We start from the raw sequence: 16,853 nt of genomic DNA, 5'->3' as shown, positions 1-16,853 counted from the left end.
TCAAATATATTACGTGTTATTTTAAATAGAGCTGTTTGTCTTTTTAAAATTAAGCTGAAAAAATTTTTTATTCAATCTGGATATACCTCCTGTATCAGACACATTTTGCAAATACTTTCATACTGACATATGCTAAAATATGTCAAATACTAAGGTCTGGGGTCTGTCTTAATTTTTTAATGGTATGTTTTGAAGAGCAAAGTCGTTCACTTTGATGAAGTCTGATTATCCAAATGTTTTCATTAAAGGTATTTGTATCTGTGTGCATGCCCATTTGCAATGGTTGATTTTGCGTGTCAACTGGGCTGGGCAGAATCCCCAGATATTTGGTCAAGCATTATCTGGGGTGGATCTGTGAAGGTGTTTGGGATCATATTCAAGGTTGACCTTTCTGATGTAGGTAGGCCTCATCCAGTCAGCTGAGACCTGAATTAAACAAAATGCCTGAATAAGAGGGAATTTCCTCCTGCGTGACTGCCTTGAGGTGGAACATCAGTGTTTTTGCTGCCATCAGACTCATACTGAAACGCTGGTCTTTCTGGATCCCAAGCCTCTAGGCCTTTGGACTGGAACTGCACCATCAGCATTTCTGTGTCTCCAGCTTGTCAACTGCAGATCTGGGGACTTGTCAGCCTTCATGATGACGTGAGCTAATTCCTTACTCTCTCTCTATATATATACATACATATATATATATATACACACACACACATCTATTCTATTGGAACCCTAGCAAATACACCATTTAAAAAAATGTTTCTTCCTAAAATTGTAAATAATGTTTCATACATGTTCTTCAGGAAGTTTTATAATTTTAGTTATTACACAAAAATCTAAAATCCATTTCAAGTCACTTTTCACATATGGTATGAGGTAAGAATCAAGGTTCATTTTCTTGCTTATGAATATCTCTAATAATTATAGCAGCATTTGTTAAAAGTCTATTCTTTTCCCATTCAATTACTTTGGAAAACTGTCAAATGTCACTTTCACATATATGGACTGATTTGTTTCTGGACTCTTGATTCTATTTACTAATCCATGAATCTATTCTTACACTACTCTTCTGATTACTATAGTTTCATAGCTAGTATTAAAATCATGTAGAGAAAGTCCTCCATTTTTTTCTCTCCAAATAGAAGAGAAAGCAACATTTTCCAACATATCATACGAGGTCAACATTACTCTGATTTTAAAAACCAAACAGGCTGGGCATGTTCGTGCACGCCTGTAAACCCAGCACTCTGGAAAGCCAAGCGGGTAGATCACCTGAGGTCAGGAGTTCATGACCAGCCTGACTAACACGGTGAAACCCTGTCTCTACAAAATACAAAAAAATTAGCTGGGCCTGGTGGCGCATGCCTGTAATCTAAGCTACTTGGGAGGCTGAGACAGGAGAATAGCTTGTACCTGGGAGGCGGAGGTTACAGTGAGCCGTTATTGCACCATTGCACTCCAGCCTGGGCAACAAGAGCGAAACTCCATCTCAAAACAAACAAACAAAAAAAGAATACAAAGAAATAATATTACAAACAAATAACCCACGTGATATAGACACAAAAATATTCAGTATTAACACATAAAATCCACCAATATATAAAATAAATAGTACATCTTAGCCAAGTGGAGTTTGTTTTCTGGTAAGTTCAAATGTATTGTGGTAATTCTAGGTACTTTGCATTTCCATATAAAACGTAGAATCAATTTCTTAATTTCAACAAAAAGTCTACCAGGATTTTGACTTGGATTACATTAAATACAGAGATCAAATTGAGGAAAATTGTCACCTTAACAATAATGAGCCTGCCAATCCATGAAGAAAGTGTATCTCTTCATTCATTATTCATTAACAACTACTTCTTTAACTTCTCCCAGCAATGCTTTAAACTTAAAAGTTGTGCATGTTTTAAAATTTTAACTTTAGATATTTCATATTTGATAATATTATAAATAATATCATATTTAAAATGTATTTGCACATTTTCTTTGCCTATGTAAAGTACAATGGAAGTACAAGAGGACAAACAACCCAATCATAAAAATGGGCAAATGATTTTAACAGTTAAAAGTAGTCACTAAAGGCCAGGCGTGGTGGCTCAAGCCTGTAATCCCAGGACTTTGGGAGGCTGAGGCGGGCAGATCATGGGGTCAGGAGATCAAGACCATCCTGGCTAACACAGTGAAACTCTGTCTCTACTAAAAATACAAAAAATTAGCTGGGCATGGTGGCAGGTGCCTGTAGTCCCAGCTACTCGGGAGGCTGAAGCAGGAGAATGGTGTAAACCCGGGAGGCAGAGCTTGCAGTGAGCCAAGGTCATGCCACTGCACTTCAGCCTGGGTAACAGATTGAGACTCCATCTCAAAAAAAAAAAAAAAATAAGTGGTCACTAAAGAAGATATCCAGTTGGTAAATATGCACATGAAAAGATGCTCAACATGATTAGTCAGTAGGAAAATGCAAATTAAAACCACAGTGTGATTCCACTTCTCACCCATTACTATGGGTAATGTTTGGGAAAAAACTGACAATACCAAGTGCCAATGATGACGCAGAATAACTAAGTGTTAGAAGGAATGCAAAATTGTACAACAGTCACCCTGGAGAATGGTTTGCCAGTTTCTTATATATTTCAACACATACCGTATGACCTATCAATCTCACGGCTAGGTATTTACTTAAGTAAAAGAAAAATTTACATTTATATAAAAATCAGTACATGATATCTGTGACAGCTCTATTAGTAATTGCCAAGAATGGCATGCATACAAGGGAATATTTTAGCAATGGGAATAGCGCGTATCTTCATTATGCTGGTATTACCTGAGTGTATACGTTTGTCAAATCTCATCAAAACGTACATTTAAAATTGGTGAGTTTTCTCATAACCACACCTCAATAAAACTCACTTTAAAAAATTCTCTAATCAGTTTAAAGATTGTATAGAAGGAGATTTTAAGAGGAGCTGAAAAAACAGTGGCTTGGTAAGCAAAATAGAATTATTAAAAGCCCCAAGTACTTTGATTTCCTAATGTTCAGTATTTAGTGTTGCCACATTGATAGGAGCTTCTAGAGCATTTATATTACTTTGACTCTCATTTTTTCTTACTATAATTTTCTAAAAAATAGAAAATCTGCCTCCTGGAGAGATAAAACAGAGGTCCAGTGCAAATAGGAATAATGCATAACTTCATACTGGGTTGATTCATGTCTTCTATGAAAGAAATTATTTTTTCAAGTTGCACGTAGTTTTATTTGGAAAGTCAGTACCTGTTGAATTATTTTTGTTACCCTTATTATCATGAAGTTTTGTGTTTTACTTCTCACAAGCATTTATTTCCTTTAAGCACAACACTGACTTTGACTGAAAGACAAAGGAAGTCATAGCACCTCAAAGCTTGGTAAGAACTGGTTCCTTTTAAAAATAAACATTTTAAGGACAGTAGCTGAAGAAGCAACTGTAAATGGTCCATTGAATGCCTTTCACTAGCCTGTATGTACCTTCAAAAGATTATTTTCAATTTTAATCATTTCCATAATTCAGTCATATAAAAACAATATTATCTTCAAATACTATTCATTGTAAAGATGACAAATTCAGGGAAAATATATTTAAGGAATAACATTTAAAAAACCATTGGTGAAAATTCTTGCTACAATTACATTTGTATTTGTGTTCTATGTCTATGTGATCAAATAGCATGTAACCATAGGACATAAATATAAATGCAATTATCTATTTACAGCATCTAACAAAAATATTTCCTACCCCTGAGTTTATTTTTATTTTATTATTATTATACTTTAAGTTTTAGGGTACATGTGCACAATGTGCAGGTTTGTTACATATGTATACATGTGCCATGTTGGTGTGCTACACCCATTAACTCCTCATTTAGAATTAGATATATCTCCTAATGCAATCCCTCCCCCCACCCCAACGCACAACAGTCTCCGGAGTGTGATGTTCCCCTTCCTGTGTCCATGTGTTCTCATTGTTCAATTCCCACCTATGAGTGAGAACATGAGGTGTTTGGTTTTTGTCCTTGCGATAGTTTGCTCAGAATGATGGTTTCCAGTTTCATCCATGTCCCTACAAAGGACACAAACTCTTCATTTTTTATGACTGCATAGTATTCCATGGTGTATATGTGCCACATTTTCTTAATCCAGTCTATCGTTGTTGGACATTTGGCTTGGTTCCAAGTCTTTGCTATTGTGAATAGTGCCACAATAAACATACATGGCATGTGTCTTTATAGCAGCATGATTTATACTCCTTTGGGTATATACCCAGTAATGGGATGGCTGGGTCTAATGGTATTTCTAGTTCTAGATCCCTGAGGAATCGCCACACTGACTTCCACAATGGTTGAACTAGTTCACAATCCCACCAACAGTGTCAAAGTGTTCCTATTTCTCCACATCCTCTCCAGCACCTGTTGTTTCCTGACTTTTTAATGATTGCCATTCTAACTGGTGTGAAATGGTATCTCATTGTGGTTTTGATTTGCATTTCTCTGATGGCCATTGATGGTGAGCATTTTTTCATGTGTCTTTTGGCTGCATAAACGTCTTCTTTTGTGACGTGTCTGTTCATGTCCTTCGCCCACTTTTTGATGGGGTTGTTTTTTTCTTGTAAATGTGTTTGAGTTCATTGCAGATTCTGGATATTAGCCCTTTGTCAGATGAGTAGGTTGTGAAAATTTTCTCCCATTTTGTAGGTTGCCTGTTCACTCTGATGGTAGTTTCTTTTGCTGTGCAGAAGCTCTTTAATTTAATTAGATCCCATTTGTCACTTTTGGCTTTTGTTGCCATTGCTTTTGGTGTTTTAGACATGAAGTCCTTGCCCATGCCTATGTCCTGAATGGTATTGCCTAGGTTTTCTTCTACGGTTTTTATAGTTTTAGGTCTAACATGTAAGTCTTTAATCCATCTTGAATTACTTTTTGTATAAGGTGTAAGGAAGGGATCCAGTTTCAGCTTTCTACATATGGATAGCCAGTTTTCCCAGCACCATTTATTAAATAGGGAATCCTTTCCCCATTGCTTGTTTTTGTCAGGTTTGTCAAAGATCAGATGGTTGTAGATATGCGGCATTATTTCTGAGGGCTCTGTTCTGTTCCACAGATCTATATCTCTGTTTTGGTACCAGTACCATGTTGTTTTGGTGACTGTAGCCTTGTAGTATAGTTTGAAGTCAGGTAGCGTGATGCCTCCAGCTTTGTTCTTTTGGCTTAGGATTGACTTGGTGATGCGGGCTCTTTTTTGGTTCCATATGAGCTTTAAAGTAGTTTTTTCCAATTCTGTGAAGAAAGTCATTGATAGCTTGATGGGGATGGCATTCAATCTGTAAATTACCTTGGGCAGTGTGGCCATTTTCATGATATTGATTCTTCCTACCCATGAGCATGGAATGTTCTTCCATTTGTCTGTATCCTCTTTTATTTCGTTGAGCAGTGGTTTGTAGTTCTCCTTGAAGAGGTCTTTCACATCCCTTGTAGGTTGGATTCCTAGGTATTTTATTCTCTTTGAAGCAATTGTGAATGGGAGTTCACTCATGATTTGGCTCTCTGTTTGTCTGTTATTGGTGTATAAGAATGCTTGTGAGTTTTGTACATTGATTTTGTATCCTGAGACTTTGCTGAAGTTGCTTATCAGCTTAAGGAGATTTTGAGCTGAGACAGTGGGGTTTTCTAGATATACAATCATGTCATCTGCAAACAGGGACAATTTGACTTCCTCTTTTCCTAATTGAATACTTTTTATTTCTTTCTCCTGCCTAATTGCCCTGGATAGAACTTCCAACACTATGTTGAATAGGAGTGGTGAGAGAGGACATCCCTGTCTTGTGCCAGTTTTCAAAGGGAATCCTTCCAATTTTTGCCCATTCAGTATGATATTGGCTGTGGGTTTGTTATAGATAGCTCTTATTATTTTGAGATACGTCCCATCAATACCTAATTTATTGAGAGTTTTTAGCATGAAGCGTTGTTGAATTTTGTCAAAGGCCTTTTCTGCATCTATTGAGATAATCATGTGGTTTTTGTCTTTGGTTCTGTTTCTGTGCTGGATTACATTTATTGATTTGCGTATGTTGAACCAGCCTTGCATCCCAGGGATGAAGCCCACTTGATCATGGTGGATAAGCTTTTTGATGTGCTGCTGGATTCGTTTTGCCAGTATTTTATTGAGGATTTTTGCATCAATGTTCATCAAGGATATTGGTCTAAAATTCTCTTTTTTGGTTGTGTCTCTGCCTGGCTTTGGTATCAGGATGATGCTGGCCTCATGAAATGAGTTAGGGAGGATTCCCTCTTTTTCTATTGATTGGAATAGTTTCAGAAGGAATAGTAGGTACCAGCTCATCCTTGTACCTCTGGTAGAATTCAGCTGTGAATCCATCTGGTTCTGGACTTTTTTTGGTTGGTAAGCTAGTGATTCTTGCCACAATTTCAGAGCCTGTTATTGGTCTATTCAGAGATTCAATTTCTCCTGATTTAGTCTTGGGAGGGTGTATGTGTCGAGGAATTTATCCATTTCTTTTAGATTTTCTAGTTTATTTGCGTAGAGGTGTTTGTAGTATTCTCTGATGGTAGTTTGTATTTCTATGGGATCAGTGGTGATATCCCCTTTATCATTTTTTATTGTGTCTATTTGATTCTTCTCTCTTTTCTTCTTTAATAGTCTTGCTAGCGGTCTATCGATTTTGTTGATCTTTTCAAAGAACCAGCTCCTGGATTCATTAATTTTTTGAAGGGTTTTTTGTGTCTCTATTTCCTTCAGTTCTGCTCTGATTTTAGTTATTTCTTGCCTTCTGCTAGCTTTTGAATGTGTTTGCTCTTGTTTTTCTAGTTATTTTAATTGTGACGTTAGGGTGTCAAATTTTGGATGTTTCCTGCTTTCTCTTGTGGGCATTTAGTGCTATAAATTTCCCTCTACACACTGCTTTGAATGCGTCCCAGAGATTCTGATATGTTGTGTCTTTGTTCTCGTTGGTTTCAAAGAACATCTTTATTTCTGCCTTCATTTCGTTATGTATCCAGTAGTCATTCAGGAGCAGGTTGTTCAGTTTCCATGTAGTTGAGTGGTTTGGAGTGAATTTCTTAGTCCTGAGTTCTAGTTTGATTGCACTGTGGTCTGAGAGACAGTTTGTTATAATTTCTGTTCTTTTACATTTGCTGAGGAGAGCTTTACTTCCAACTATGTGGTCAATTTTGGAATAGGTGTGGTGTGGTGCTGAAAAAAATGTATATTCTGTTGATTTGGGGTGGAGAGTTCTGTAGATGTCTATTAGGTCTGCTTGGTGCAGAGCTGAGTTCAATTCCTGGGTATCCTTGTTAACTTTCAGTCTCGTTGATCTGTCTAATGTTGACAGTGGGGTGTTAAAGTCTCCCATTATTATTATGTAGGAGTCTAAGTCTCTTTGTAGGTCACTAAGGACTTGCTTTATGAATCTGGGTGCTCCTGTATTGGGTGCATATATATTTAGGATAGTTATCTCTTCTTGTTGAATTGATCCCTTTACCATTATGTAGTGGCCTTCTTTGTCTCTTTTGATCTTTGTTGGTTTAAAGTCTGTTTTATCAGAGACCAGGATTGCAACCCCTGCCTTTTTTTGTTTTCCATTTGCTTGGTAGATCTTCCTCTATCCCTTTATTTTGAGCCTATGTGTGTCTCTGCATTTGAGATGGGTTTCCTGAATACAGCACACTGATGGGTCTTGACTCTTTATCCAATTTGCCAGTCTGTGTCTTTTAATTGGAGCACTTAGCCCATTTACATTTAAAGTTAATATTGTTATGTGTGAATTTGATCCTGTCATTATGATGTTAGCTGGTGATTTTGCTCATTAGTTGATGCAGTTTCTTCCTAGCATTGATGGTCTTTACTTTTTGGCATGTTTTTGCAGTGGCTGGTACCGGTTTTTCCTTTCCATGTTTAGTGCTTCCTTCAGGAGCTCTTTTAGGACAGGCCTGGTGGTGACAAAATCTCTCAGCATTTGCTTCTCTGTAAAGTATTTTATTTCTCGTTCACTTATGAAGCTTAGTTTGACTGGATGTGAAATTCTGGGTTGAAAATTCTTTTCTTTAAGAATGTTGAATATTGGCCCCCACTCTCTTCTGGCTTGTAGAGTTTCTGCCGAGAGATCTGCTGTTAGTCTGATGGGCTTCCCTTTGTGGGTAACCCGACCTTTCTCTCTGGCTGTCCTTAACATTTTTTCCTTCATTTCAACTTTGGTGAATCTGACAATTATGTGTCTTGGAGTTGCTCTTCTCGAGGAGTATCTTTGTGGCGTTCTCTGTATTTCCTGAATGTGAATGTTGGCCTGCCTTGCTAGATTGGGGAAGTTCTCCTGGATAATATCCTGCAGAGTGTTTTCCAACTTGGTTCCATTCTCCCCATCACTTTCAGGTATGCCAATCAGACGTAAATTTGGTCTTTTCACATAGTCCCATATTTCTTGGAGGCTTTGTTCATTTCTTTTTATTCTTTTTTCTCTAAACTTTCCTTCTCACTTCATTTCATTCATTTCATCTTCCATCACTGATACCCTTTCTTCCAGTTGATCACATTGGCTCCCGAGGCTTCTGCATTCTTCACGTATTTCTCGAGCCTTGGCTTTCAGCTCCGTCATCTCCTTTAAGGACTTCTCTGCATTGGTTATTCTAGTTATCCATTCGTCTAATTTTTTCTCACAGTTTTTAACTTCTTTGCCTTTGGTTTGAATTTCCTCCTGTAGCTCAGAGTAGTTTGATCGTCTGAAGCCTTCTTCTCTCAACTCGTCAAAGTCGTTCTCCGTGCAGCTTTGTTCCATTGCTGGTGAGGAGCTGCATTCCTTTGGAGGAGGAGAGACGCTCTGCTTTTTAGAGTTTCCAGCTTTTCTGCTCTGTTTTTTCCCCATCTTTGTGGTTTTATCTACTTTTGGCCTTTGATGATGGTGACGTACAGAAGGGTTTTTGGTGTGGATGTCCTTTCTGTTTGTTACTTTTCCTTCTAACAGACAGGACCCTCAGCTGCAGGTCTGTTGGAGTTTGCTAGAGGTCCACTCCGGACCCTGTTTTCCTGGGTATCAGCAGTGGTGGCTGCAGAACAGCGGTGGCTGTAGAACAGCAGATCTTGGTGAACCACAAATGCTGCTGCCTGATCGTTCCTCTGGAAGTTTTGTCCCAGAGGAGTGCCCGGCCGTGTGAGGTGTCAGTCTGCCCCTACTAGGGGGTGCCTCCCAGTTAGGCTGCTCGGGGGTCAAGGACCCACTTGAGGTGGCAGTCTGCCCGTTCCCAGATCTCCGGCTGCGTGCTGGGAGAACCACTACTCTCTTCAAAGCTGTCAGTCAGACAGGGTCATTTAATTCTGCAGAGGTTACTGCTGTCTTTTTGTTTGTCTGTGCCCTGCTCCCAGAGGTGGAGCCTATGGAGGCAGGCACACCTCCTTGAGCTGTGGTGGGCTCCACTCAGTTCGAGGTTCCTTACTGCTTTGTTTACCTAAGCAAGCCTGGGCAATGGCACACGCCCCTCCCCCAGCGTCTCTGCCACCTTGCAGTTTGATCTCAGACTGCTGTGCCAGCAATCAGCAAGACTCCATGGGTGTAGGACCCTCCGAGCCAGGTGCAGGATATAATCTCCTGGTGTGCCATTTTTTAAGCCCCTTGGAAAAGCGCAGTATTAGGGTGGGAGTGACCTGATTTTCCAGGTGCTGTCTGTCACTCCTTTCTTTGACTAGGAAAGGGAACTCCCTGACTCTTTGTACTTCCCAAGTGAGGCAATGCCTCGCCCTGCTTCGGCTCACACACAGTGCACTGCACCCACTGTCCTGCACCCACTCTCTGGCACTCCCTAGTGAGATGAACCGGGTACCTCAGATGGAAATGCAGAAATCACCCATCTTCTGTGTCTCTCATGCTGGGAGCTGTAGATGGGAGCTGTTCCTATTCGGCCATCTTGGCCCCACCCCTCTTACCCCTGAGTTTCAATCCACATCAAATTGTCTTCAGAGTGCATTATGATCAAAAAGAAAAATTCTAAATTATTATTCTTATCTTTATTTGTTGGTAATTCTTTTTATTAGATACACATTAGGAATCAGCAGGCAAAGAAAGAAGTACAAATTTGAAAAGCACAGAATAGTGTTTGGGAGCATAGTGATAATTAAGAAATCAGATCTAGTAAATACTATATATATCAAGTTAGGAAACATTCTTCCTTTGAATGGCTAACCAGAAAAGAGGAAAATGCTATTCATCACAATCTGGTAACTACAGCTGACCACAGAATTCTGCCAAAACTATTTTCCAATTAGATAGATAGACATAGATATAAATGACTTAGATCAGCTACATGTAGATGATTATACAGAGACAGGTTGAGACAGAAATATAGGAAGACATATACAAAAAATTTCTGAAAAATATTCTAACTTCAAGAGGAAATACTGTGAATTTAAAATAAAACAACTAGGTTTATTAGGCTTCATACTAAGCAATAAAAATAGAAATTAAAAACAAGTAATTATAACATAATTTTATCACTTTACTGGTATGGGAGATAAAACTTTTAATTTTAAAGATTTTAAATCTGGAGCCCATTTTTTAGTGAAATTAAAAGAAAAATCTGTAGAACCTATTCCAAAGGACTTGTCTTGGAATTAAAATAATCTTGAGAAGAGTTTAGGGAAAATTATATGATGTGGTAAAACAAAATACAACAGGAGCAATAAATGCAAATGCCTACAAGAGCCAGGTGATTAAAGGAGTGAAGTAAACAAGGCATACAAAATAATCCTAAGTGGCTGAAAGTGGTGCAAACAGGAGCTGGACTGTCTCACCTCAAGGGGGTGGTAGTCATTTAGTTACACAACCCCAGCTAATGTGTTGTGGAAATACAGGCTCAAAGTTTTTCAGTCTTTATTAGAAACTAGAAATTCAGATTTATGCATGAGACCTCTTAGCTTTTTAAATGTTAGCAATTGTTGCCTACCCAGAATCCATTTTACCTCTGTTCTTCTCAACAAAATAAAGATTTGAGCCCAAAAAGCATGTAGAATTCTCCTAGTTATAATTATTGGTCCATGCCTAGGCATATAACCTAAATTGCCTAATGCAGGTAGATAGAACATTAAATACATGTTTATGCCACTTAATTCTAGACCTGAAGTTTGCCCTTCTTCTTGCCTTTTATTTGTATGAGATAAAATACATCTCTTATGGTCCATACCAGTTTAAAATGGTCATTTAAAATCATTAAAAAGATACAGCCACATACATCTAAAAAAAGTCAGAAAACCAGAAATTAGTGTAGAAGTCATCCCAAAGGACTTAAGCCTTGAAATAAAGAATCCATTCCAAAGAATTTAAGTCTTGGAATAAAATACTTCATACTGAATTTTTTCAGGTTAAAAATTGATCCCATTACTTTACACTTCAAACTACTTAACCTGAAATGCTTTGGTTAAAGGAAAAATATATTCAGCATATTATTCGAAAATATAATTTAATTACTCTTTAAAAATAAGTTTTCCTGGCTGGGCACGGTGGTTCACGCCTATAATCCCAGCATTTTGGGAGGCTGAGTTGGGCGGATCATCAGGTCAGGAGTTCGAGACCAGCCTGACCAACATGGTGAAACCCCGTCTCTACTAAAAATACAAAAAAATAGCCTGGGATGGTCGCACATGCCTGTAATCCCAGCTACTCGGAGGCTGAGGCAGGAGAATCACTTGAACCCAAGAGGCAGAGGTTGCAGTGAGCCGAGATTGCGCCACTGTATTCCAGCCTGGGGGACAGAGCAAGACTCCGTCTCAGAAATACATAAATAAATTTTCCACTGTTTCCTAACTCTTCAGACACCGTGTGTGTGTGTGTGTGTGTGTGTGTGTGTGTGATCACTTTTCAGGCCAAACAAATGCTTACATAGCAAAAAATAATAGCCCAGCACCTCTAAGGGTCTGAAATATCGATTACATAACATAAATTTTCTGACACATGGTTATATGAATAATTACAATTATGTTTTTTAATCCCTTCATGAACCATATGTAACAGGTAAAAATATGCTTGAATTTCTAATGATAAATCGGAAAATTATTCCTCACAATTTCCAGTAATATTAAAGCTTGTTTAGTCCAAGTATTAGGAGATTCTGCATACATTCATGAAAATAATCAAGATTTCCCTTGAAAAGGAGAAAACGAATGAATATCCATCTGGCTAGCACAGGTTCGGTACCATCTACTCTAAATAGCAACTCATGCATCATCTGAATTGCTTGTGTGTGCTTTATAAATTGTTTATAAAAAAAATTTGCAGGCTTCAACTTCAATAAGTTACCATAATAGAAACCCTTAATTCAGTTTCTTACAAATTCTCCTAAAAGTAAAAAATAAAAATAAAACACAAAATGATAACTCTTAACAGTGAAAAAGAAACTTCTGAATGTACATAGACCTTTATTCCAGAATCTGGAAAGAACTGACATTAATTGCAACATAGCTGGAAGACGATGGAGAAAGAAAATCTATCCACGTTTCAGTGAACAGAGTAGTCTGGCTTCATATCATGGAACAGTCAATCTATAAAAGTAGAAAATATTCTATATCTCTTCTACTATTAAAAATTGTGTGTTGTTACTTTTACCACTGTAAAGCTCTTTCATAAAGCATCATAAAGTGTCCTCAATCTCTAGCCTGCTAAATCTGTCACCAGTTTTAATGAGAAATTGGAAATCAGGGAAAAAAGCACATGCAACAAAGTATCTATTCTGCTGCAGTACATTTTAAGAGGTATTATCTTCCATTACTAAACACTACAGGATGATGTAAGTTAGGAAAAATCCTCAGTGCAGTACCCACCCCTGCCAACACACCCCGGGCCTGCCAAAACCAGCTTCCTTCATATTTGTTGCAAAGTGCAGGAAAGGGAGCTCTGAGAATTTTAGGATTTCATATATTGTATTGACTAAGAATGACTGATGATCTGAAACTCAGGGCTTTTAGAAGTACAACTGTAAGAAAAAAAAAATACAGGCAGCCAGAGATTGGAAATTGCACTAATTGGAAAAGATGTAACATCATTCATGCAGACACAAAATGGAAGCAAGGATAATCCATCCATATTGTCAAAATAATGTATTTGCAGACCCAAGTTCTTTGAAACTAAGTTTAAAAATAAGTAATACGTGCCTATAAAAAAATCATAATAACAGAACAGCATCTGGAAGATATCCTGTGGAATCAAACAAGCTGAGATAAAAAAGGACAAAACTGAAATAAGAGAGGAGCAAGAGAAACTTGAAATGCAAGAGTAGAAATATAAAATAAAGTACCCAAAATAAATAAGCAGGAGACTTGGAGTACAAAATCAAATCAGTGACAGGAAGAACAAAAAACAGATTTCTAAGAAAATAAAAGCAATAAAAACCACTAGAGAAAAAATTAGCAGTATGAAGTGCATATGCAGATATTTTGAAAAGAAAAAATAGAATGAATAGAAGATTTAAATTTTTCAAATAATCTTCAGAGTCAAAGCAAGACCTGTATGTACAAGCTGAGTTGGTTCATAGATTTTAGCAGGAAAATATTGATGAAATAAACCCACACCTAGACAAAATTTTTGACAAAATATTTGAGCTACAAAGAATAAAAGCAAAAATAAGCAAAAAGTCAGCATTATAAAAAGAAATTAACTACAAAAATGCAAATATTATGATGCCCTTTAGTATTTTCTCTGCAATACTGGATGCCAAAATACAATGAGAAAATAGTTACAAAACTTTGAATTTAAAAAGTTGCAACTAAAGAATTTTATAATCAATATCAGTTGTAACAAAATATTGGATTATTCATAGGTTTACACAAGATAATATTTATTTTTTAAAAAGTAAAGTACTTGAAGATGGTGTTCAACGGTACAAATAGAGAACCTTAGCAGCACAGTAAGTATTATAAAATAAAAACAACATGGAGAGAACAACAACCATTGGATGACTGGAAAAATTGAATAATTATATGATTATATGAGGGTAGAAGAGACAAAAAGATGAGGAGAAAAGATGTATTTCATAGAACCCCTACTAGTTAACAAATTTGGAGTTCATATACAAGTCAAGCAAAGACCATAAGTTAATGTCTCAGGAAAATAAAATGTGGAATGACCCTAAGTTATGTAACCCCTTAAAGGGAGTTGATATTAAAATAAATAAATTATATTTGCAAGATACTTGGAGACCTTCCCAAACACGATGTGATATGTAAAATACTGCAGAACTGGCTCAAAATCACATGTGGAGTATACCTATCTACCTCTCTTCTATATGCGTTTCCTTGAAAATAAAGAAAAAATTATAGTGTTTCTGTACTTATATGCCATATAATTATATTTATAGCATAATTTTTATCAAATTTTATATTACATATTTATAGATATAACTATATAATTATATAACACATGAAGTAAAATATTAAATAATTCTAACAACCCAAATGTACTTCAACAGGTGAATAATGAAACAAATGATGATACATCCACACCACAGAATCCTACTCAGCAAGAAAAATAAACTATTACTGCCTGCACAAATTGGATAAACCTCAAGGGAGTTACTCTGAGTGGAAAAAGCCAATATCAAAAGGTTATATTGCTATATCATCCCACCTCTAATACAGTTTTGAAATGGAAAAATTAATGAGATGGAGAAACAAATTTGTGGTTTCCAGGTTTCGGGAATAAAGGAGCAAGGAAGTTGGCAGCATCTACAAAATGATAGCACAAAGGAGCCCTGTGATGGAAGTGACCTGTACTTTGAGTGCAGTGGTGAGTCTACACATGCGATGATATTACACAGAATGAAGTACACACACCGCACACACGAATGTATGTAAAACTGGCAAAATCTGAATAAGGTCAGTGGATTTTATCTGTGTCAGTTTTTAAATTGTGATATTTTACTACAGTTGTATAAAATATGACCATTGGGAGAAACTAGATGAAGCTTTCATGGGAGCTTACGTGGCTTTGCATTTTTTCTTATAACTGCATGGGAATCTATAATTACGTCAAAATAAGAAGCTTATAAAGCAAATGAACATTAAATATTTTAAAAACAGGAATGCTGGCTTGTATCATAGTGTAAGTACTTTATCAGAGATACTCCTAAATATTTTACTTCATGTATTTAATTAGAATAGATCTTTGCATTAAGAAAGCAAGATTCACTTTAATGCTGCTTCTGAAAGTTGCTTCGTAGAGAGAGAGAATGGAATGAAACACATGGTACAGTCCTGTTTCATAATAGATTTCAAGGTACATTCTTTAAAGGTTATGTTAAAAGTTGATTGTCTTAAATCTTTATTTTATAAAGAGACTTTAAAATTTAAGTGATCATGACTTTTGCATATTTTATGTATATTACGGGAACATTTAACTAAAAACTTATGAAAGAATAAGAGATGTTCTAAATCACCAAGGCAGTTTTACGTGCTTTAGATTTTGCATTAATAGAGACACTTTAACCAAAGAGCATTTCATGTTTGTCTTTCCCTCACCTCCAGTTCTTCAATTTAATATGTGGTTACCCTCTTTTCAAGAGTTACAGTACCATTTTAAATTCCCATTAGCGTTGTAAAATGATCCAGTTTTTCCATATCCCGGTCAGCATTTAGGGTTATCACTGTCGTTTTATTTTAGTCATTTTGATAGGTGTATTAGTGACATCTCATTGTGGTTTTAATTTTCATTCCTTTAATAACTAATGATATTGAGTTTCTTTCATGTGCTTATTTGCCAGATCCTTGGTGAAATGTCTCTTCAAGTCTTTTTCCCATTTTCTGGTTAAATTGTTTCCTTGTTTTATTGTTGATTTTTGAAAATTCTTCATATATTCTAGATACTAGTTCTGATATGACATTGTAGCAATATCTATAACATGTCTTCTGCCATGCTACAAAAAGCATGTTATTACTTATCTTTATTGGTTAGAAATGAGAGGCTACATCAAATGATATTTCTGGTTCTAGATCTTTGAGGAATAGGCACACTGTCTTCCACAATGGTTGAACTAATTTACACTCTCACCGACAGTGTAAAAGCATTCCTATTTCTCCACATCCTTTCCAGCATCTGTTGTTTCCTGATTTTTTAATGATTGCCATTCTAACTGGTGTGAGATGGTACCTTATTATGGTTTTGATTTGCATTTTTCTAATGACTAGTGATGATGAGCTTTTTTTCATATGTTTATTATACCCAAAGGATTATAAATCACTCTACTATAAAGACACATGCACACATATGTTTATTGCAGCACTATTCACAATAGCAAAGACTTGGAACCAACCCAAATGCCCATCAATGATAGACTGGATAAAGAAAATGTGGTACATATACACCGTGGAATACTGCACAGCCATAAAAAAGGATGAGTTCATGTCCTTTGCAGGGACATGAATGAAGCTGGAAACCATTATTTTCAGCAAACTAACACAGGAACAGAAAACCAAACACCACATGTTCTCATTCATAAGTGAGAGCTGAACAATGAGAACACATGGACACAGAGAGGGGAACATCACACATCAGGGCCTGACCATGGGTCGGGGGCTAGGGGAAGGATAGCATTAGGAGAAATACCTAATGTAGATGGCGGGTTGATGGGTGCAGCAACCCACCATGGCACGTGTATACCTATGTAACCAACCTGGATGTTCTGCACATGTATCCCATAACTTAAAGTATAATTAAAAAAAGCAAAAATAAAACAAGAAATGAGAGGCTAGAAAAGGAGGCTCCAAAACTTAGATAATGGCTTTCATTCATAATGCTCTTTAAATGGCTTTGGTTTGGCAAAATAAAATGTAACTTATT

General features: G+C 36.7%; 2 long non-coding RNA genes across 3 annotated transcripts in view; one reads left to right on the top strand and one right to left on the bottom strand.

Annotated features, from left to right (window-relative positions):
* LOC101927960 (uncharacterized) overlaps nt 1-16,853 on the bottom strand; it is a 282,946-nt gene that overhangs the window by 31,379 nt on the left and 234,714 nt on the right. The gene's annotated exons all lie outside the window — the stretch shown is intronic.
* On the top strand, nt 429-15,104 carry LOC105373856 (uncharacterized). Of its 2 annotated transcripts, XR_007088062.1 has the most exons (4): nt 429-645; nt 3,346-3,399; nt 14,488-14,622; nt 14,708-15,104. It is a non-coding gene; the product is annotated as an uncharacterized LOC105373856 (long non-coding RNA). The 2 variants fall into 2 exon arrangements; XR_001739863.2 differs by lacking the exon at nt 429-645 and having other exon boundaries at nt 3,260-3,399.

Source organism: Homo sapiens, chromosome 2 (assembly GCF_000001405.40).
Source record: "Homo sapiens chromosome 2, GRCh38.p14 Primary Assembly".
Lineage (NCBI taxonomy): Eukaryota > Metazoa > Chordata > Mammalia > Primates > Hominidae > Homo > Homo sapiens.
Note: the sequence above shows the minus strand (reverse complement) of the source record. Positions and strands in the feature narration are given on the sequence as shown.